Genomic DNA, 22,553 nt, shown 5'->3' with positions numbered 1-22,553 from the left:
TCCTCTCCATTTAAAATAGGGCGCAGTCTGAGTAAATGACTCTGTGACTTCATTCTCTTCATTTACATAGAATATACGCCAAGTAACCAATGGGAAACCTCTACAGTATTGAAACTCCAGAAAATTCTGTAAGCGGGGCTCTTATGATCAGGCCCGCTCCCACACTGTGGAGTGTACTTTTGTTTTCAGTAAATCCGTGCTTTGGTTTCCTCACGTTGTGTGTGCATTTTGTCTAATTCTTTGTTCGAGATGCCAAGAACCTGAACACCTTCTACTGGCAACCTTGAAGTACATGTAGTAATTTACTAGAATACCTATGGGCATTCAGAGGAATTCACTAATTTTCTGGTGGACAGTTGCAATTGCTAGTTTTGTTTTTCCCAAATTGAGTTAAAATCTGTATCTCTAGTAGCTTCTACTCATTAACCATAATTCTGTCTTCTATTCCAACTTCTGCACTATAGTCCTTCAGGAATCTGAAGATTATTCTACCCCCCCAAACATTCCCCTCTCCCAGTAATCACTCTCTCCTCTCATGGGATTTGCTTTACCAGCCTGACTTCCATTCTAGTTATATCCCAAGGGTTTCAGTAGCATGACATCCATGATTATGATTGCTTTCTTCTTCATTTTCTATGCTTAAAAAATTTTCTATATTACCTTTATAATGACAAAATGAATTTTATTTCAAAAAAATAGACATAGGAGTCATTAGAATGCCTTCTCCAAAATACTGACTAAAATACGCCTCATGAGAAAATTGATATTGAAATCTGAAAGGAAAAGGAAAAGAACAGAGAGCAGGATGGATGAGGATACTCTGTTACTTCTTTCTAGACATGATCCTCTCAGGGTGCATAAACTCACATTAGGGATCTTTGATCTGAAAGGGCTAATCCAAGTCCCCTACTCTAAAAATGAGAAAATTTAGAACTAGGAAGATCAAATGAATTGCCCAAGTTTAAATAATTGGCCTAATGTTTTTGATAGAGCCACAAAATTAATGACTGCCCTGCTTAAAATCTTTTGAACAGTTTTCCACTGCCCTTTGCATAAAGCCCAATTCCTTATCATAAATAGCAGGGTTCTTTATAATTTAGTTCCTAACGTCTTCTCCAGCCTAATTTTAAGCCCCTCCTGAGCTCCTGAGCTCTCCTCACCTTGCACTCTACGATCCATTTATTTAATTTCTTTAAGCATTTTTTTTGTCTGCTCGGTTTTTTTGTTTGTTTGTTTTCTCCCGAAAGTCTCTGCAGTTTAAGTTCTTTTTTGCACATCTCTGAGGCTGAATATATTTCTCCTCTTCCTAGAACACGCTTCCCCATAGCCTCATTCTCTTCAGCTGACTAAATCCTACTCATTCTTCACATCTTCTCTGACCCCTAACTTGGATTAGTTCTTGCTATAGATTCCCAGAGAACCTAGGGTTTCAAATTTAGATGAGATCAGAGGATGTTCCCAGAGGATTTAGCACTACCTCTCTTTAAAAAACTCATACCCTTTTTTTGAATATGTGTTTAATATCAATCTTGCCTGCTAGACTGTAAGCACTCTGAAGGCAGGAATGGCATTTGCTTTGCTCTTTTAGTCTTAGCACTAACACATTACTAGGCACAAAGTAAATAATAAATATTCCATTTTAAAAAGGCTTAAGTTAGCTCATAATTGCTAAAAATATTTATTAAAACATTGTTAACATGCTATACAGTCACTGTTTAGTATCCTTGCAATAGACCAAGGCCCTCTTTCCATGTATAAAGCACAAAGCCCAACAGAGAACTGCTGTTATTCAGGCAAGCATCATTACTTTATTATCCAAATAGTTAAAAGAAAGTAAATAAAAATCTGATAAGAATGTCAATCATCGTTAATCATTCACTTTCAAAATCCATGCTCCAAAAGTAAAAGAAACTCTAATTATAGATTTGTCGTCTAACTTATCACCTTCCTAAGAAACTGTTACAGTTTAGAAAAGTTCAGATTCTGATCATCAAAGGGATATATAAACAAAAGAATATTGTATGTAACATCTAATAAGGGAGTACAAAGCACAAACGCCATGCATTTGGAATAATTATTAAGAGCACAGCCCTAGAGCCAGAAAGCCTGTGCTCAAATCCTGACTTTACCATTTTCCAGCACTGTGACCTTGAACAAGTAACTTAATCTGTGCTTCAGATTTACCACCTGTAAGACAGGCCTGAAAAACTGTACTTACCTCATCAAACTATCATTTTATTTTGTGTCTGTATTAGTGCTATTAAGATGAAACCTAGGCTACCATACTGCAAGATTTATGGACTCTGCTTTTTATGTTCTTCTTATGTCAGTTCTGTTTCGTCTCAACTTGTTCGTATACTAATTTTCTTTTCCTATTCTAAATCTCCTCATTGAAGTCAGTGAGAATGAAGAAATGAAATTAATTATCTCCCTTTTCTTTTTTTTTTTTTTTTTTGAGATGGAGTCTCACTCTGTCATCCAGGCTGGAGTCCAGTGATGTGATCTCAGCTCACGGCAACCTCAACTTCCCGGGTTCGAGATTCTCCTGCCTCAGCCTCCCGAGTAGCTGGGATTACAGGCACCTGCAACCAAACTGGCTAATTTTTACTAGAGACAGGGTTTCACTATGTTGTCCAGGCTGGTCTCAAACTTCTTACCTCAGGTGATCTGCCTGCCTCGGCCTCCCAAAGTGCTGGGATTACAGGTGTGAGCCACCATGCCAGGCCAATTCTCTCCCTTTGAAGAATATCAAACATACTAACAGGCAAGTACATTTTAGTGTTATATGGGAAAGTCTCTAAAAGCAGAGTAAGACTGAATCTACAGAAGCAGATGTGCCATGGAGACACTTACAGCAATGTGGTCAGTACAATGTCAGCAACACTGTTGCCACAGTCATCATGGCTTTTATCTTAGCATAGGTGGGTCCAGGCTCCTGAGGTCAGAAACAGGCTGAAACCTATTAGCTTGGCTTAAATAGATCAGAGGTAAGTGAATATTTCAGTATGAATTAACAATGATTTCATACGATTTTCACACGTTTAATATATAAGCAACTACTACATAGATTAAAGAATTAGAGTAGGCTCGTCTTAGCCCAAAATCTCCTCAAGCTAATAAGCAACTTCAGCAAAGTCTCAGGATACAAAATCAATATGCAAAAATCACAAGCATTCTTATACACCAATAACAGACAAACAGAGAGCCAAATCATGAGTGAACTCCCATTCACAATTGCTTCAAAGAGAATAAAATACCTAGGAATCCAACTTACAAGGGATGTGAAGGACCTCTTCAAGAACTACAAATCACTGCTCAACAAAATAAAAGAGGACACAAACAAATGGAAGAACATTCCATGCTCATGGATAGGAAGAATCAATATCATGAAAATGGCCATACTGCCCAAGGTAATTTACAGATTCAATGCCATCCCCATCAAGCTACCAATGACTTTCTTCACAGAATTGGAAAAAACTATTTTAAAGTTCATACAGAACCAAAAAAGAGCTTGCATCGCCAAGTCAATCCTAAGCCAAAAGAACAAAGCTGGAGGCATCATGCTACCTGACTTCAAACTATACTACAAGGCTACAGTAACCAAAACAGCACGGTACTGGTACCAAAACAGAGATATAGACCAATGGAACAGAACAGAGCCCTCAGAAATAATACCACACATCTACAACCATCTGATCTTTGACAAACCTGACAAAAACAAGAAATGGGGAAAGGATTCCCTATTTAATAAGTGGTGCTGGGAAAACTGGCTAGCCATACATAGAAAGCTAAAACTGGATCCCTTCCTTATACCTTATACAAAAATTAATTCAAGATGGATTAAAGACTTAAATGTTAGACATAAAACCATAAAAACCCTAGAAGAAAACCTAGGCAATACCATTCAGGACATAGGCATGGGCAACGACTTCATGTCTAAAACACCAAAAGCAATGGCAACAAAAGCCAAAATTGACAAATGGGATCTAATTAAACTAAAGAGCTTCTGCACAGCAGAAGAAACTATCATCAGAGTGAATAGGCAACCCACAGAATGGGAGAAAATTTTTACAATCTACTCATCTGACAAAGGACTAATATCCAGAATCTACAAAGAACTCAAACAAATTTACAAGAAAAAAACAACCCCATCAAAAAGTGGGTGAAGGATATGAACAGACACTTCTCAAAAGAAGACATTTATGCAGCCAACAGACACATGAAAAAATGCTCATCATCACTGGCCATCAGAGAAATGCAAACCAAAACCACAATGAGATACCATCTCACACCAGTTAGAATGGCGATCATTAAAAAGTCAGGAAACAACAGGTGCTAGAGAGGATGTGGAGAAATAGGAACACTTTTACATTGTTGGTGGGACTGGAAACTAGTTCACCCACTGTGGAAGACAATGAGGCGATTCCTCAAGGATCTAGAACTAGAAATACCATTTGACCCAGACATCCCATTACTGGGTATATACCCAAAGGATTAGAAATTATGCTGCTATCAAGACACATGCACACATATGTTTACTGTGGCACTATTCACAATAGCAAAGACCTGGAACCAACCCAAATGTCCAGCAATGAAAGACTGGATTAAGAAAATGTGGCACATATATACCATGGAATACTATGCAGCCACAAAAAAGGATGAGTTCATGTCCTTTATAGGGACATGGATGAAGCTGGAAACCATCATTCTCAGCAAACTATCACAAGGACAAAAAACCAAACACCGCATGTTCTCACTCATAGGTGGGAACTGAACAATGAGAACACTTGGACCCAGGAAGGGGAACATCACATACTGGGGCCCGTCATGGGGTGGGGGGAGTGGGGAGGGATAGCATTAGGAGATATACCTAATGTAAACGACAAGTTAATGGTTGCAGCACATCAACATGGCACATGTATACATATGTAACAAACCTGCACGTTGTGCACATGTACCCTAGAACTTAAAGTATAATAATAAAAAAAAACTTCCAAAAGCAAAAAAAAAAAAAAAGAATTAGAATAGGCTGAATGCCATTTCACCCTGGGTGGAATTATTACTTTTGTCTTAAATTATTTTTATTTGTTTGCCCCTTCTAGATTATCTAGGGGAATGTAACAAGTGGCACTTAATAGTGGGATACTAATAGCACTTCAAATTTGTACAGCCTATAAATATTTTAAACACTTTATTCTCAAGTTGAATGGTTTCCATTATTTTCTCCAAACAAACTTGAAAGAATGAATAATTTTCATTCATTTATTTCATTTACTTATTTGACCAATTTTAGTAGAATATCTACCATGTTTTGACCTGATAAGGGTTCAGAGGAAGTCCTCGTCTTTTGGCAGGTGTCTGTTAACAAACAACTTGGGGCCAGGCACGGTGGCTCACGCCTGTAATCCCAGCACTTTAAGAGGCCGAGGTGGGCAGATCACTTGAGGTCAGGAGTTTGAGACCAGCGTGGCCAACATGGTGAAATCTCGTCTCTACTAAAAATACAAAAATTATCTGGGCATGGTGGTGAGCACCTGTAATCTCAGCTACTCGGGAGGCTGAGGCAGGAGAATGGCTTGAACCTGGGAGGCGGAGGTTGCAGTGAGTCAAGATCGTGTCACTGCACTACAGCCAGGGCGACAGAGCAACTGTCTCAAAAACACACACACAAAACAAAACAAAACAAAACAAACAAACAAAAACAACAAAAAACCCAACTTGGTTCTAGTCTCGACAGTCCTCTCCTGCACCAAATGTAGTGCTCCAAGCTCCATTTCGATCCATAATCAGGAAATGTGAGCACACATTGTAACATAATAGGTGAAAGTCTTTCCTAAGAGAAAAATGAAATTGAAAGCTTAGCCAACTCAGTCATGCCCTCTTAGATAAAATATATTTATTTTCCAGCCTTCTCTTTCCTTTTTGCACCCTTCCCAACACTACAAAAGGTAGTCATTGAAAACATTTAATTCTTGTGTAACAATCTTGAGTGCTAAAGTTAAACCTTGTTTCTCAAATCTTTGAAGAGTTCAAGTCAATAACAAATTGGACTACACATTTATAGATGCCATTAACACTTTAAATGGAAGATATATTTCCTGTCTCTTTAGTAAGAAGGAAGCTGAGCAGCCTACACCCAAGCAATTTGTACCTTTCAGGCAGCAGCAATAAAAATGATTCTTTTACATGAAGGAATAAATTAATGTGTGACTGTTAGGTTGGAGAGCACTGTAGAGCTTCTGGTTAAATGTTAACTATTTAGAGGAATTATCCTCATTCTAGCATTTATCAGGTATTGTGTAGTTTTAACACTGCCTTGCAGATATGGAATCCGAAATTATCAAAATTGTGGTCACAATCTACTAGCTTGGTGGACTTTGACAGATAGCTCAGTAAATGCACCTGGGACCTTCCCTCCACCCCAGCCCACCCTCCAGTGTAATTTTTAGGATGTAATTACAGAGGAAAAAAGGTTTTGAAGGTACCTTAATGCACTTCCCTAGCAGCAGGATGCATGTGCTCAGAGTATCAGTGACTTGGAGATATTAATTTGTATACTCAAAGAACAGTCTGGGAAGGATTTGTCACAAACTGTTCCAACAGGCCCTACAAGTGGAAGACTTGCTATTAATAATATTAGGATTCTTCCAGAAGAGAGCTTTTGAGTATGAAAAGTTAACCTCCTTCCAAGTATTCTATGTGGCTGATAGTTGTCAAGATCCTGATTAGGAAGTACCTGCTAGCGAAGTGTTGCAAAGAGGGAAAGTAGAACATGTTATCTGGATCTATCTAAAAGGCTTGTAGTGAGGCCCTCAAAGAAAATAAAACAGTTCTTTCTGTCTTTAAAAGACATTCGTATATTTAAAGAGAAGATATTTGTTGTACAGCTCTACATTAACAATTATGCTGTAATTTATGCAGGTATATGCATCACTTTTGTTTTTTTCTTTCTTCCTAGGAGGAATCACAAGAATCTCTTAACAAGTGATTGTCTTTGGAAACCACTTTGTATTTTCTATTTTATTTTATTTTATTTTAAAGGCATAAAAGTCCAAAGAGAAAATAATAGTCACCCCACATAATTAAACATTCAGCTTGCCAATCCACGCACAGCCAGGCTAAGCCTGTGATTTCAGTGGCCAAGAGAACTGAAGCAGTTTTTAAAACATTTATAATTATTTATATCGTGATTCCAAATGGGTGGTCTGGAGAGATGTTTCGATATATCTGATTCTTGAAGAAATTATGCCAAATTAAACTTCTTATTCACTAATATCAGTATAAAGCAGTATGCACACAGGGCCGCACAATGATGTATTATAAAAAATTTGTCACCAATCACTTTCCAATACAAAATGATAATGGACAAATCAGAAATGAGGTAGCCTGGCTGGGCGTGGTGGCTCATGCCTGTAACCCCAGCACTTTGGGAGGCTGAGGCTGGCAGACCACATGAGGTCAAGAGTTCGGGGCCAGGACAATATGGTGAAACCCTGTCTCTACTAAAAATACAAAAAAAAAAAAAAAAAAAAAAAAATTAGCTGGGTGAGGTGGCGGGCGCCTGTAATCCCAGCTACTCGAGAGGTTGAGGCAGGAGAATCGCTTGAACCTGGGAGGCGGAGGTTGCAGTGAGTCAAGATCATGCCATTGCACTCCAGCCTGGGCGACAAGAGCAAAACTCCATCACAAAAAAAAAAAAAAGAAAGAAAACAAAGAAATGAGGTAGCCTGAAGCAATAGCAATATTCACGTTTGCAAGTGATGGACCATCCCAAAGTGGATCAGCTTTAGCAGCCTCATCAAATAAGAAAATGTACAGGCCAAGAACACCAACCACCAAAGAATGGCATGTAAATACCACCCTTGAGTTCCATTCAATCTTCTTTTCAAAGCTAAGACTATTGAAACTTGGAGAAACTTTTGTGAAAACCAGTAACTTACAAAGTAGAAAAGAAGCTGGAAGGTGAAAAAGCTGGCACAAATAACGCTGATGAACAATTTCGTGTTGATATTCATATTTCTTCAACCAGGGATTATAGTGGTGGAGCTGGAAATAGAAACTAATTTCTCCCTCTGACTCTCCAGTTGGTTCCTTCCCACTAGACTTTTCAGCAATGGCTGAAATAGCAAGTGGCTAAAAATGGGACCCACTTGATAAGTGTGCTGTGTCCCGGGCTGAGTTCGCTCACGGGTGGCGGCTGAGCCCAGGCGGGAGAGGGCAGCTGGTAGCTACAGGCCTCTGGTCATCCGGCCCAACCCGAGTGCTGGAGCTGGCCAGAGCCACCACGCGAGATGCTTGCAGGAGCCAGGGAAGCCACGGGCTCCAGGCCGGTTGGAGGTGTAGTCGCAGAGGCTCCAGCTACCGCTGCGGCCACCATGCCCACCCGGACTGTGGCCCACTTTGTATTTTCTAACCCACCTAATACATATATTGATTTTCTTTTATTGTTTTATAGACAACAGGAATTATTTGGATAGGGAGATTACCTCAGAGTAGTAAACTTATGAGTAACTTCTGTATTTTCTTTCTGTGTTTCAGTTTTTATTTCTATGTGTTTTCAAAATTTTCTATAGTCAACATATTATTTGAATCCTTAGTAAAAAGAAAACCTCATTTAAATCCAAGAAAAGGCTGAGTGTGGTGGCTCACACCTATAATCCCAGCACTTTGGGAGGCTGAGGCTGGAGGATTGCTTGAAGCCAGGCGTTCAAGACCAGCCTGAGCAACATAGCGAGACCCTATCTCTACAAAAAATGTTTTAAAAATTAGCCAGGCATGGTGGCATGTGCCTGTAGTACCAGCTACTTGGGAGGGTGAGGTGGGAGGATCAAACCTGGAATTTCAAGGCTGCAGTGAGCTATGATCTGATCACCACTGCACACGAGCCTGGGCAACAGAGTAAGACCCTGTCTCCAAATAAACAAACAAAAAAAGCAAGAAAAATCTTTAGGGACTACACCTTTTTGGCAAACTTCAATTTAAATAAATACACACAAATAGCTATTCTTTTAATAAAATACATTAATCAACCTTATTATATCATTTCCCTACTCAAAACCTTCATTTATAGAATTTAAAATATCAGTTACTCAGCATTACATACACAACCTATCATGATCAACTCCCACTCTCTATTTCCTGGCCTACCCCCTACATTTTAGCCAGATGGAATAAGTTAAAAATCCTCTTGTGCCATCTTTCTATCCCGTGCCTCTCAAAGTGCTATTCCTTCTGCCTGGAACATCTTTCCCGTCCCCTGACAATCTGATAAATTCCTATTTTTTCTTAGATTCCTGTTCAAAAGTTTCCACCTTTAAATAGGCACAGATATACACTGCTGGTAGTTATATTAACTAATATAACCTTTAAGGAAAACAATTTGGCCTTATCTATCAAAATTACAAATGAATGTATCCTTCAACCCAGCAGTTCCACTCCTAGGAATTTAATCTACAGATATACTCACACACTTTTGTGAAATGTTATATAAGATTACTCACTGCAGTATTGTAGGAGCAAAATATTGAAAACAACCTACACACTCACAGAGTGGGAGGGAGTTGGTTACACATATTATAGAAATCTATACAGTGAAATACTATGTAGCTTTCAAATGAACAAGGACACCCTTCATGAACTGACATAGAAAAATCAACACATACTGTTAAGTGAGAAAAGCAAAGTACAGAACATAAAAGGGCCACCAAGAGCTCTGAAAAAAGAGAACACATATAAATTTGTTTGCATGTATAAAAATATTTATAGAAGGATACTTCTAAAAAAAACTACTAAAACTGCTGGGAAAACAGGAATGGGTAGGTAACTTCACTGGATATCATTTCATATTTGTTGAAATTCTGATACTGTGTGCATGTATTATTTATAAAGTAAAATTGTAAGAGCTTAAAAATCAAAACCTGTACTTTAAAAAGTGTCTACATCTTTATGAAAATATCTCTAATTATCTCCACCATTCCTTTATTCAATAATTAGAACCTTACTGGCTGCTGACACTATGTGCCAGGTACTATGGTAGGGAGAGAGAGAAGAAATAAAACAACCCACAAGGAAAATGAACTTCAGTGTACAACTCAGAAAAGCAGATAGAATATCCCATTTCAGTTAGTTCACAGGGTGCAAGGTGTGACAGGAGCATATAGGACAAACAGCACCTACACATTTCTAACAGTGCTCACATCACTGACTCATACACGGCTGTTTACATGGCTGTCTCCCAAACTGGACTGTTATCTCTTTGACGATGTCTCAAAGCTTAACACAGTGCTATGCACGTAGGAGGTATACATGTTAAATGAACCACTAAATAAAAGTATAACAGAAATAATCACTGCATTTTTTTGTTCGTTTGTTTGATTTTTGAAACAGTTAAGAGCTAATTAAGGCTGGGAGTGGTGGCTCACACCTGTAATCTTTGGGAAGTCAAGGCAGGAGGATCACTTGAGCCCAGCAGTTCAAAACCAGCCAAAGCAACATAGTGAGGCTCCCTCTCTACAAAAAGAAAAAGAAAAGGAAAAAATTAGCTGGGCATGGTGGTATGTGCCTGCAGTCCTAGCTACTTGGGAGCCTGAGGAGGGAGAATCACTTGGACTCAAGCATTTGAGGCCGCAGTGAGCCGTGATTGCACCACTGTACTCCAGCCTGGGTGACAGAGTAAGAGACACTATCTCAAAAAAGAATAGAAAGGCTGGTCACAGTGGTTCATGCCTGCAACCCCAGCACTATGAGAGGCTGAGGTGGGAGGATTGCTTGAAGCCAGAAGTTCAAGACCAACCTAAGCAACAATGTGAGACACCCCCATCTCTACAAAAAAAAACAAACAAAAAAATTAGCCAGGTATGGTGACATGCACCTATAATCCCAACTACTTGAGAGGTTGAAGCAGGAGGATCATTTGAGCCCAGGAGTTCGAGGCTGCAGTGAGCCATTATCACGCCACTGCACTCCAGACTGGGTAACAGAGAGAGAACCTGTCTCAAATAAAAATAAAACAGGGCCGGACGCGGTGGCTCACGCCTGTAATCCCAGCACTTTGGGAGGCTGAGGCGGGCGGACCACAAGGTCAACAGTTCGAGACCAGCCTGCCCAATATGGTGAAACCCTGTCTCTACTAAACATACAAAAATTAGCCTGGTGTGGTGGCAGGCATCTGTAGTCCCAGCTACCCAGGAGGCTGAGGCAGAAGAATGGCTTGAACCCCGGAGGCGGAGGTTGAAGTGAGCCGAGATCATGCTACTGCCCTCCAGCCTGGGTGACAGAGCGAGACTCCATCTCAAAAAAAAAAAAAGTTAAAATTAAAATTAAAAAATAAAACAAAAATTCAAAAAAAGAAAACAAAAGAGCTAATTAAGTACTCAGCTAGACTCTAACCTGATTCCACAATCATAAGAACTTAGTATATGGGTCTAAGGATAAAAAGATTTAAAAATAAATTCCATATCTTATGCATACACACACACATGAATGTATTTAATTGTCACAAACATATTGAAGATTATGATTGTAACTATGTGGGATTTCATCTTCCCCCAATATATTCATTAAATATGTACAGAGTGTGTATAATTCCCCCAGGCACAATGCTGGGCTGGAAATACAATGGTAAAAACAGAAATAGCTGGCCGGGCATGGTGGCTCACGTCTGTAATCCCAGCACTTTGGGAGGCAAGGTGGGTGGATCACTTGAGGTCAGGAGTTTGAGACCAGTCTGGCCAACATGGGGAAACCTCATCTCTACTAAAAAAATACAAAAATTAGCTGGGCGTGGTGGTGCACACCTGTAATCCCAGCTACTTGGGAGGCTGAGGCATGAGAATCACTTGAACTCCAGCCTGGGCGACACAGTGAGATTCTGTTTCCAAAATAAAAAAAGCTGACATAGGGAAGTTATAGGTTAATGAGAGATTCATTAAATAATCACACAAGTAATTTTCTATACCATTAAGAGGAAGAGAGAAAGTGGAAGGCATGATCAAGATTTCTCCTAGCCCACTGTAAGGAAAGAAAAGACTTGTAAAAATCTTTGTGTCTCAGACAGTATCAGATAAAGGTTATATTAGGGGTATGTGGAGGGAGTTCATTGAATTGAACTTAGATGGAAAAAAACTATTTTCCTGAACCTCTAACTGAAATTTATCAATTCCTTCCATTATAAATGTAGCCAATAATCCACTGTGTTATTTGTGATTTTGCCACCTATAGATACCACAGATATTTTCATTCACATTATATGTATTACATATATCTCAAAATTATTTTGCATTTATAGTAGCCTCACTACCATTTCTTGCTATTTAATGTGTTTAATAAAGAAGTACTTATTACCATATCATAAATCTGATTTCTGTCTATTTTTGTAATCGTATTTTTTTTTTCTTTTGATATGAAGTCTCGCTCTGTCCCCCAGGCTGGAGTGCAGTGGCGTGATCTCAGCTCACTGCAACCTCTGCCTCCCAGGTTCAAGCAATTCTCTTGCCTCAGCCTCCCGAGTAGCTGGAATTACAGGCGCATGCCACCACACCCAGCTAATTTTTGTATTTTTTTGGTAGAGATTGGGTTTTGCTATGTTGGCCAGGCTGGTCTTGAACCCCTGACTTCAAGTGATCAGCCCACCTCAGCCTTCCAAAGTGCTGGGATTACAGTGTGAGCCTCCGCACCTGGCCTATTTTAGTAATTGTATTTAAATACAATTGATTTCCTTTGTAGTCTTATCTATTTTATGTTACACATTTAAAAACATTTTTTTCTGATAAGGGGTCCATGGACTTAACTACACTGCCAAAGGAATCCATGACCCCCCCCCCAAGTTTTTGCAAATCCCTGGGCTATAAATATGGATCAGGTTGAGATAACAATGTTGGCATACCCTAGAAACATTGGCAAGAGATTTCTGTTTCTTAATTACCTTTGGAAGGGATGGGGAAAAAAGAGTGCCAATTCACTTTAAAGTTTCCAGTAAAATGAATAATGGTAAAAGACTGGTAAGTCTGAATTTTCAATTTTATCTCATTTTTCAATGAGTATATGTCATTTTTTGATGATGAATCTGTGCATGTGCAATTTTTGTGAATATTATATAAGTGTACTATTGAGAAACACAGTGCTTATATATTTTACACAGCTAACCTAACCATGGTGATCATATGAAGGGTCAGTTAGGTCAATTATATATGTGGTAGACTATTGTTCAGCAAATACTCACTTTCCCCTCCCACAACTCCTATTGTGGAGTACCCTTTTCTTCTCCAGGATGTTGGAAGTGGCCTTTTGATTTGTTTGGTCAATGGAACATGGACAAAAGCCAAAGCGTGAGGCCAGGCGTGGTGGCTCGCGCCTATAATCCCAGCACTTTGGGAGGCCAAGGTGGGCAGATCACTTGAGGTCAGGAGTTTGAAACCAGCTTGGCCAATGGTGAAATCCCATCTCTACTAAAAATACAAAAATTAGCTGGGCGTGGTGGCACATGCCTGAAATCCCAGCTAATCAGGAGGCTGAGGCAAGAGGATTGCTTGAACCTGGAAGGCGAAGGTTACAGTAAGCCGAGATTGCGCCATTGCACGCCAGACAGAATGAGACCCTGTCTCAAAAAAAAAGAAAAAAAAAAGAATTAAATGGTGGCAATGCTGCCATAAAAAATGTAAAGAAAAAAGTTATGAAAATCTCTATCAAATTTGCCCTTAGACTGCTTGACACATTTATTAATTTACTGCCCCTCTTAAGGAAACTGAAACTAGAAGGCATATGGATTTCAGAATTCCGAAGCAAACAAAGAGCATTAAAGGCCTTAAAGCAAAATTGATAATGGAAGTTTTAAGTAAAAACAAATGTTTAAGTTAGTATGTAGCAATTTTTATCCTTCTTCTCCTGAACCAACTTTTTCTATAAACCAACTACAGCCCTGACTGTGTCGGATAAGAGGGCTTCTGTATTTCAGCCTGCCAGAAATCCTATTGTGGGCATTACAATTACAGGGCTACACTGTTTTGTTTGCTGTAAATCCTGTTTGTAAATAAGCTTGAAGTCCTTGCAATGAGTTTGAGTACTACAATTTGATTACACGTTCAGCTTGCGCACTGTGGTGAGTTTTGATGTAATATTGGTTTCTCGCCAGGCGCGGTGGCTTACGCCTGTAATCTGAGCACTTTGGGAGGTCAAGGCGGGAAGACCACCTAAGATCGGGAGGTCGAGACCAGCCTGACCAACAGGGAGAAACCCTCTCTCTACTAAAATTTCAAAATTACCCAGGCGTGGTGGTGCATGCCTGTAATCCCAGCTACCCATAGGCTGAGGTAGGAGAACTGCTTGAACCTGGGAGGCACAGGTTGCAGTGAGCTGAGGTCATGCCATTGTACTCCAGCGTGGGCAACAAGAGCAAAACTCTGTCTCAAAAAAAAAAAAAAAAAATTGGTTTCTCTAATAATTTAATCATCGTTTTGTTTTTATTTTTTTTGAGATGGAGTCCTGCTCTGTCGCCCAGGCTGGAGTGCAGTGGTGCGATCTCGGCTCACTGCAAGCTCCGCCTCCCAGGTTCACGCCATTCTCCTGCCTCAGCCTCCCGAGTAGCTGGGACTACAGGCGCCCGCCACCATGCCCGGCTAATTTTTTGTATTTTTAGTGGAGACGGGGTTTCACTGTGTTAGCCAAGATGGTCTCGATCTCCTGACCTCGTGATCCACTCGCCTCAGCCTCCCAAAGTGCTGGGATTACAGGCGTGAGCAACTACGCCTGGTCTTAATCATCATTTTAAATTTCTGTTAACCAGGCCAGGTGTGGTAGCTCACGCTTGTAATCTCAGCACTTTGGGAGGCCGAGGGGGGAGGATCACTTGAGCTCAGGAGTTCCAGATTAGCCTGGTCAACACAGTGAAACCCCATCTCTACAAAAATAAAAAATTAGCCAGGCACGGTGACATGCACCTGTACACCTAGCTACTTGGAAGGCTAAGGAGAGAGGATCACCTGATCCTAGGAGGTTGAGGCAGCAGTGAGCGACAGACCTTGTCTCATTCATTCATAAATAATAAAAGAATCAATTTGGAATAATAACTAACATACACATGCCACTTTCTATGTGCTAGGTATCCAGTGCTTTACATATATTGACAATTAATTTTCTTAAGTGCTTTACATATATTACTGATTTAATTTAAATTTAAACTTAATTTTGATTTAATCTTACAGGTACTACTAACATGATTCTGTAAGAGTTAAAGAAAGAGGAAAGAAACACGAAACACAGCTTGGCAGTTAAAGATAGGTTTACTTTAGATATAACATGAGAGGGACTTCTGGCCGATTTCAGTCCGGACTACTTTCTCTTGCAGACTCCAATTTTACAGATGAGAAAAATGAGGTTTGAGATTAAGTAATCTGCCCAAAGTCATAGAGCTAATTGCAAGTGAGGTAGGATTGGACCCAGGCAGTTTAGTTTGAGTGTGTGCTCAGGGGCTCTGCTCTATACTATCACAAAACTCACCTAACATTACTCGGTCAGATTCTCACCAAAGAAATATGGAGTTGTGATTCAGATGGTAGAACTATAAATCTGGATGCTGTGTAGCAGCAATATTCTGCCATAGAAATAAAGAAGCCAAGAAGTTGGAGACAGAGAAATAAAGTAGATGTCAAGAGAGAAGTTTTAATTAGATGGCAAGAGATAGGGAGAATGGTTGCCAGCATCAGTCCAGTACCAGCTCTGTTGCCTAGATGAACTGCCCTTGCATTTAAAGGAACACACTTTGCTGTCCACGTGATAAAATCCCTTTCTTATTTAAGATAGCACAAGATTTTATTACTTGCAACTATAAGAACCTTAACTCATTAGAACTGATCAACCAAATGATTGGTTGGATGCTTGAACTGAACTGAAATTGATATAGTGCCAAAATGTGCACTTGCTATGTAACAATGAGAATAAAAAATATTCAGATAACATTTTTAAAAAATATGGATGAATCTTAATTGTTATGTTTATTCTAATCAATATTTGAAATGTATATCTAGTAAAGATTTAGAAATAACAGTATTGATTTTATTGTTTTCTCCATCTCTGACATATGGAATTGCTCTGAATTTTGTTTTTTAATTTGGCATGCTTGATGAAATCTGTGCCAATCCGATAAGGAGGAAGTAATTACAGAATGCTTACCCTCGTCTCCCATTTATAGAAAGAGAAACTGTAGCTCCAAGAAAGAGCTCCCTTCCTTTGCTGGCACAGTGCTGCTATTTTGGTTTCTGTCAGTGAAGAATATCTATCCAGTGCCAATATAGTATAGCCATGTGTTAGTCTGATTAAATGGCTTTTGTTAAAGGGCAGTGTTCTAACCACTGGACAATCAATTCTCTTACCGTGATACTGTGACCTTGAATTTCTAGATGTGGAACATGGTAAAGCCAGAATGGGTCATTTTTCCTCCATTCTATTCTTGATAACCTAACTTTCCCATTCCCAAAGACTTTTGACACTATAGCAATCTCCACTTTTGTATGGCTGGAAGCTTAATTTTCAACTTATCTCAATCATTTACTCTTCTCATAACATCAGTTGCTGCTTCTTCCTAAATAATATTAATGTATATTCCCTTTGTGAGAACTAACCAACATGTGTAGACTAATCTCTATTTACACTCCCACTGTCAAGTGTCTAAGTCCAGACACTTGTCATCTCTTTTTACTTGCATTGCTCTAATGTCCTTTACAATTTTTTTCCTTGGTCAATGTGGGCCCTGCCAGTTCATTACTGCAAGATTCCTGCTGCAGTAATTTGATCTCATCTACTCATCAGAAGGTTTGGCCTATATATACTCCCTTCTATTGGTTCTACATTGCCTTCCCACCCTTCTGAGCTCAAACCTAAGATCTTCAGCACCATCTTCAGGGCAGAAGGCTTCAAGTTTCCTGTAGGACTGGTATCCTGATAGTGATTCCCTAATCAAGCAAAGTAATTCTCCAGGGTAACCCAACTAGTTCATTTTCTCCTTTTGTCCTCCCAACTCCTCCTGCGTCTCCAGGGTGCCTTATCTATTCATCCCACTTCTTCCTTTAGACCTTCTTCAAATAGTCTGATTAGTTCCTCCCTTATTAGAAAAGGAGACAATTAGTTACAGCTTTCACTGTGCTAAATACTTTACAAGTGCTCTCAAATAACCTCATGGTATTCCAATGAGGTAATACTATTATGTCTCTCAGTTTTCAGATGAGAAAACCAAGGCTTAGAGAAGTTACTTAGCTCACTGGTAAGTAGCGAATCTAAAACTTGAACTGAGAACTGTGTAACTTTAAAACCCCCAGTAGAGGCCAGGCGTGGTGGCTCACACCTGTAATCCCAACACTTTGGGAGGCCGAGGCAGGTGGATCACCTGAGGTCAGGAGTTCAAGACCAGCTTGGCCAACATGGTGAAAGCCCCATCTCTACTAAAGATACAAAAATTAGCCAGGCATGGTGGTGTGTGCCTGTAGTCCCAGTTACTCAAAAGGACGAGGCAGAATTGTTTGAACCTGGGAGGCGGAGGTTGCAGTGAGCAGAGATCAAGCCACTGCACTCCAGCCTGGGTGGCAGAGCCACACTCTGTCTCCAAAAAAAAAAAAGCTCTTATGTTCTGCTAGTAGTGACTAGGCTTTTGTTTAGGTTATCACAGTAAACAATATTGGTCTAGGTAATTTCTTAGTTTGCTCATGTGTGTATGATATGGAAGACATAAGAAGTTATGCTTGGCTTCCTTATTGTTTTTTCTTATCTGTAATTTATGTAAAGGGGTCTGTGATTTTCTTGCATCAACATTTACTTTTAAGGACTCAATAGGATATAATCATATTTTCCAAAGTGTGGATAGAGAGATTTCTGAATTCAATTTAGTGGGTCATAAACAATTAAAGCCTTTAAACGATTGAATAAAACAGAAAAATCCCCTTCATACATAACATGTGGCAACAGCAGGTATTGTTTAGTCAAATTTTCTTTCAGTTTTGTGTATGTAACAGCTTGCAAGGTATATTTTACTACAGATTCCTACCAAAAACATAAGAAAGACACAGGGTTACTTATGAATAAGAAAAAAATGCAGTATCCACACCTGAGAACCACTGTATTTAATCGGATTTTTACCATTCAAGGAATCAAAACACCTCCCATTATGCAACAAAGTCCAATTACAGAAAGATATTTAATTAAGCCTGTACTAAGAAAGTTTCTAAATACCCTTAATAATGAACCCAAACCTAAGGAGGATTTTATAAGTTAGCAAGAGTGTAATTTGCTTCACAGTGCAGTTATCAGATTGATGTAATCTCAGCACTCTGGGAGGCCGAGGTGGGCAGATCAACTGAAGTCAGGAGTTCGAGACCAGCCTGACCAACATGGAGAAACCCCGTCTCTATTAAAAATACAAAATTAGCCAGGCATGGTGGCGCATGCCTATAATCCCAGATACTCAGGAGGCTGAGGCAAGAGAATCTCTTGGACCCGGGAGGCAGAGATAGCGGTGAGCTGAGATCATGCCATTGCACTCCAGCCTGGGCAACAAGTGCGAAACTGCATCTCAAAACAAAAAAACAAAATGTTTGATGAAAAAATGTTCATCTCAAAGCAAAAAATTCAACATGGAATTAAAAGCAAATGAGGCCAGGTATGGTGGCTCACACCTATAATCCCAGCACTTTGGGGGGCTGAGGCGGGCGGGTCACTTGAGGTCAGAAGTTCAAGACCAGCCTGGCCAACATAGTGAAATCCTGTCTCCACTAAAAATACAAAAATTAGCTGGGCATGGTGGCTAGCACCTGCAATCCTAGCTATTGGGGAGGCTTAAGCAGAAGAATTGCTTGAACCCAGGAGGCGAAGGTTGCAATGATCCCAAATCGTGCCACTGTACTCCAGCCTAGGTGACAGAGCGAGACTCCATATTTAAAAAAAAAAAAAAAAAAAAAAAAGCAAATGATATATATTTTTATCTTGCACAATTTTAGAATAACTTTTCCAGATGAACCAAACCCAAATATTACCTCCAAAAGACGATTTTAAATTTCAAATCTGATAAAACTAAATATCTTCAGAAAGTTTTATAATACCCCAAGATCTGCATTATTTAAAAGTTTGATATATAAAACAATATTATGTGTTTCTATCAGAACTCCAAGGCTTTTCCATATTAGTCAACAAATTCTATTTAAAAATGAGCTACAGGGTTAGGAGTGGGAATTCCCTTTGGTGCAGCTAGGGTTGCATTGAGCCATAATATACACACAATCTACAAATGGAAGAGTGTTTCCTGATAAGCACATTTATATTAATTCATTCATTTTTTTCTCCCTCCCAGTCTCTTATGTGCCTGCGTCCATACACATACAAACACACAACGTCCTATACTTATTGAGCATAGGATGTTCCCTATGACTTGGTCACTGTCCACCTCTTCAGCCATCACTGTCCTCTATACTCTGCTGCTTCACATCTCTGTATTTGTTTCTTTTCTCCTTTGGCCTAGAAAACTCCTGTTAGTTTTTGAAGACTCAGCTCAGACCTCTTAAGAGGCTCTTGGCTGGGTGTGATGGTTCATACATGTAATCCCACCACTCTGGGAGGCTGAGGTGGGAGGATTGCTGGAGCCCAAGAGTTCAAAACCAGCTTGGGCAACATAGCAAGACCCTACCTCTTTAAAAAAAAATTAGCCGGGGGCAGTGATGTGCACTTGTAGTCCCAGCTACTCAGGAGAGGCTGAGGTGGGAAGACTGCTTGAGCCCAGGACTTTGAGGCTGCAGTGAGCTATGATCACACCACTGCACTCAGGCCTTGGTGACATGGTGAGACCTTGTCTCAAAAAAGGAAGAGAGGCAGGGAGGAAGGAAGAGAGGGAGGGAGGGAGGGAGAAAGAAGGAAAGAAAGAAAAGAAAAAAAAAGAGAATTCTGTTTATTTATGATGGTCCTCTCAAGATCCTCTTTTTTTTTTCTGTAGAGATGAGGTCTCTCTATGTTGCCTACGCTGGTCTTGAATTCCTGGGTTCAAGGAATCCTCTTCCTCTTGCATTGGCCTCCCAAAGTGTTGAGATTACAGGCATGAGTCACAGCACGTGGCCATATTCTGAATTCTCTGGATAAGCTTTCATGTTGGAATATTGTAAAATCAATGACTAAAATAAAATTTAAAGATTATCTACAACCGTGGATTATCCTATCCTGATTCAGTTATAGTGTATATTGTAGTTAACTAGGGGGTTGGCAATAATCTTCATATAATATATGTAATTATAAAAACATAAATTATGTATATTATACAAGGAAAGCATGCAACAGGTCAGATGTTTCTCTATTAACACTTCCAGAAAGATATTATGGTGTTTTTTTTTCCTTTTTTTTTTTTTGAGACAGAGTCTTGCTCTGTCTCAGCTCACCGTGACATCCACCTCCTGGGTTCAAGCATTTCTCATGCCTCAGTCTCCTGAGTAGCTGAGATTATGGGCATGCGCCACTATGCCTGGCTGATCTTTGTTATTTTTAGTAGAGACAAGGTTTCACCATGTTGGCCAGGTTGGTCTTGAACTCCTGGCCTCAAGTGATCTGCCTGCTTCAGCCTCCCGAAGTGCTGGGACTACAGGAGTGGTCCACCACACCTGGCTGAGTATATTACAGTTTTATTGATTATATTACAGTTTTATATCTGTTTTGCTTTTTGCAAATCTTTTTGCTTTTTTTTGTCTTCCAGCTGATTCTTTTAAACTGCATCTCTACAAAAGTGGAGAGAATATAATGAATCACTATGTATTAATACTTATCACCCAGTTTCAATAATTATCAACACATAATCTACTGGTTCATTTTGAATCTCTGCAGACATTTCATCCAAAACTATTCAATATATATCTCTAAATGACCATTTAAAAAAATCATAGTATCAGCCGGGTGCAGTGGCTCACACCTGCAATCCCAGCACTTTGGGAGGCCAAGGTGGGTGGATCATGAGGTCAGAAGTTTGAGACCATCCTGGCCAACATGATGAAATACCGTCTCTACTAAAAATACAAAAAAAAAGGCTGTGCACCGTGACTCACGCCTGTAATCCCAGCACTTTGGGAGGCCGAGGCGGGTAGATCACAAGATCAAGAGCTTGAGCCCACCCTGGCCAACATGGTGAAACCCTGTCTCTACTAAAATACAAAAATTAGCTGGGCATGGTGGTGTGCACCTGTAGTCCCAGCTACTTGGGAGGCTGAAGCAGGAGAATCACTTGAACATGGGAGGCGGAGGTTGCAGTGATCTGAGATCGTGCCATTGCACTCCAGCCTGGGAAACAGAGCGAGACTCCATCTTAAAAAAAAAAAAAAAAAACAGCCAGGCGTGTTGGCAGGTGCCTGTAGTCCCAGCTACTCAGGAGGCTGAGGCAGGAGAATCACTTGAACCTGAGAAGGCGGAGGTTGCAGTGAGCTGAAATCGTGTCACTGTACTCCAGCTTGGGCAACAAGAGGGAGACTCCATGTCAAAAAAAAAAAAAAAAAAAAAAAAACAATGCACAAAAAATTACATAATTCTCTTAATATCATTATTAAATACCTAATGAGTGGTCAAATTCAAATTTTTCTCAATTATCTTACAGTTCTTTTTATACTTTGTTCAAATTAGCATTTAAACAACGTTGATTTATTGCATCTGGTTGATATAACCCTTAAGTCTTTTAAAATCAATCTATAGCTTTCTCCTTTATTTTTTTATTTTTATTTTTTGTAATTTGTTGTTTCAAGAAATAGCCATGTTTTTAAGGTTCCTGTGCCTTAAAATAGAGAAGTAGGTCTTCATATTAGTTAGGTTTAAATGTTATGATATACTCTTTCATTCTGTTGTTTGTGATGAGTCATATTAAATATAATAAGAAGTTACTACAATTGTAGTTAAAAAGTTGATTTTGGGGGCCGGGCGTGGTGGCTTATGCCTGTAATCCCAGCACTTTGGGAGGTGAGGCAGGCGGATCACCTGAGGTCAGGAGTTTGAGACCAGCCTGACCAACATGGAGAAACCCCATCTCTACTAAAAATACAAAATTAGCCAGGCATGGTGGCGCATGCCTGTAATCCCAGCTACTAGGGAGGCTGAGACAGGAGAGTTGCTTGAACCCAGGAGGCAACGGCTGCGGTGAGCCAAGAACATGCCATTGCACTCCAACCTGGGCAATAGGAGCGAAACTCCATCTCAAAAAAAAGTTGGTTTCAGAGGTATAGATCGTTGATATCTTAAACTCAATAGCCATTATAATGATGACATCTAAGAGAAGAAACAATAAACACTTGCAAGAACTTCCGTTTTTGATTATGCCAGGACATGCACACACACTAAGATCCTGAGAGAATGGCAAATTTTTTTTACAAATATTAAAGCCAAACTAAAATTGTACTGTTATTTTCCTAATAGTTCTTCTTAGTAATAATTTAAGACCCTGAAAGTTACCTGATGTTTAGGTAGCTCAATTCTCAGATGATGTTATTACTCACTGGTAGAAACGTTACACTTCTATGAGCCTCAATTGTATGCTATGTAAATATAACTAGCCCCTACCT

The 22,553-nt window shown here is 39.7% G+C and overlaps 1 protein-coding gene across 26 annotated transcripts in view; it reads right to left on the bottom strand.

The window, feature by feature from the left end:
• RABGAP1L (RAB GTPase activating protein 1 like) overlaps window positions 1-22,553 on the bottom strand; it is an 835,789-nt gene that overhangs the window by 94,875 nt on the left and 718,361 nt on the right. The window lies entirely within an intron of this gene.

Source organism: Homo sapiens, chromosome 1 (assembly GCF_000001405.40).
Source record: "Homo sapiens chromosome 1, GRCh38.p14 Primary Assembly".
NCBI classification, from domain to species: Eukaryota; Metazoa; Chordata; class Mammalia; order Primates; family Hominidae; genus Homo; species Homo sapiens.
The sequence above is the reverse complement of the archived record's forward strand: the minus strand, read 5'-3'. Positions and strand labels throughout refer to the sequence as shown.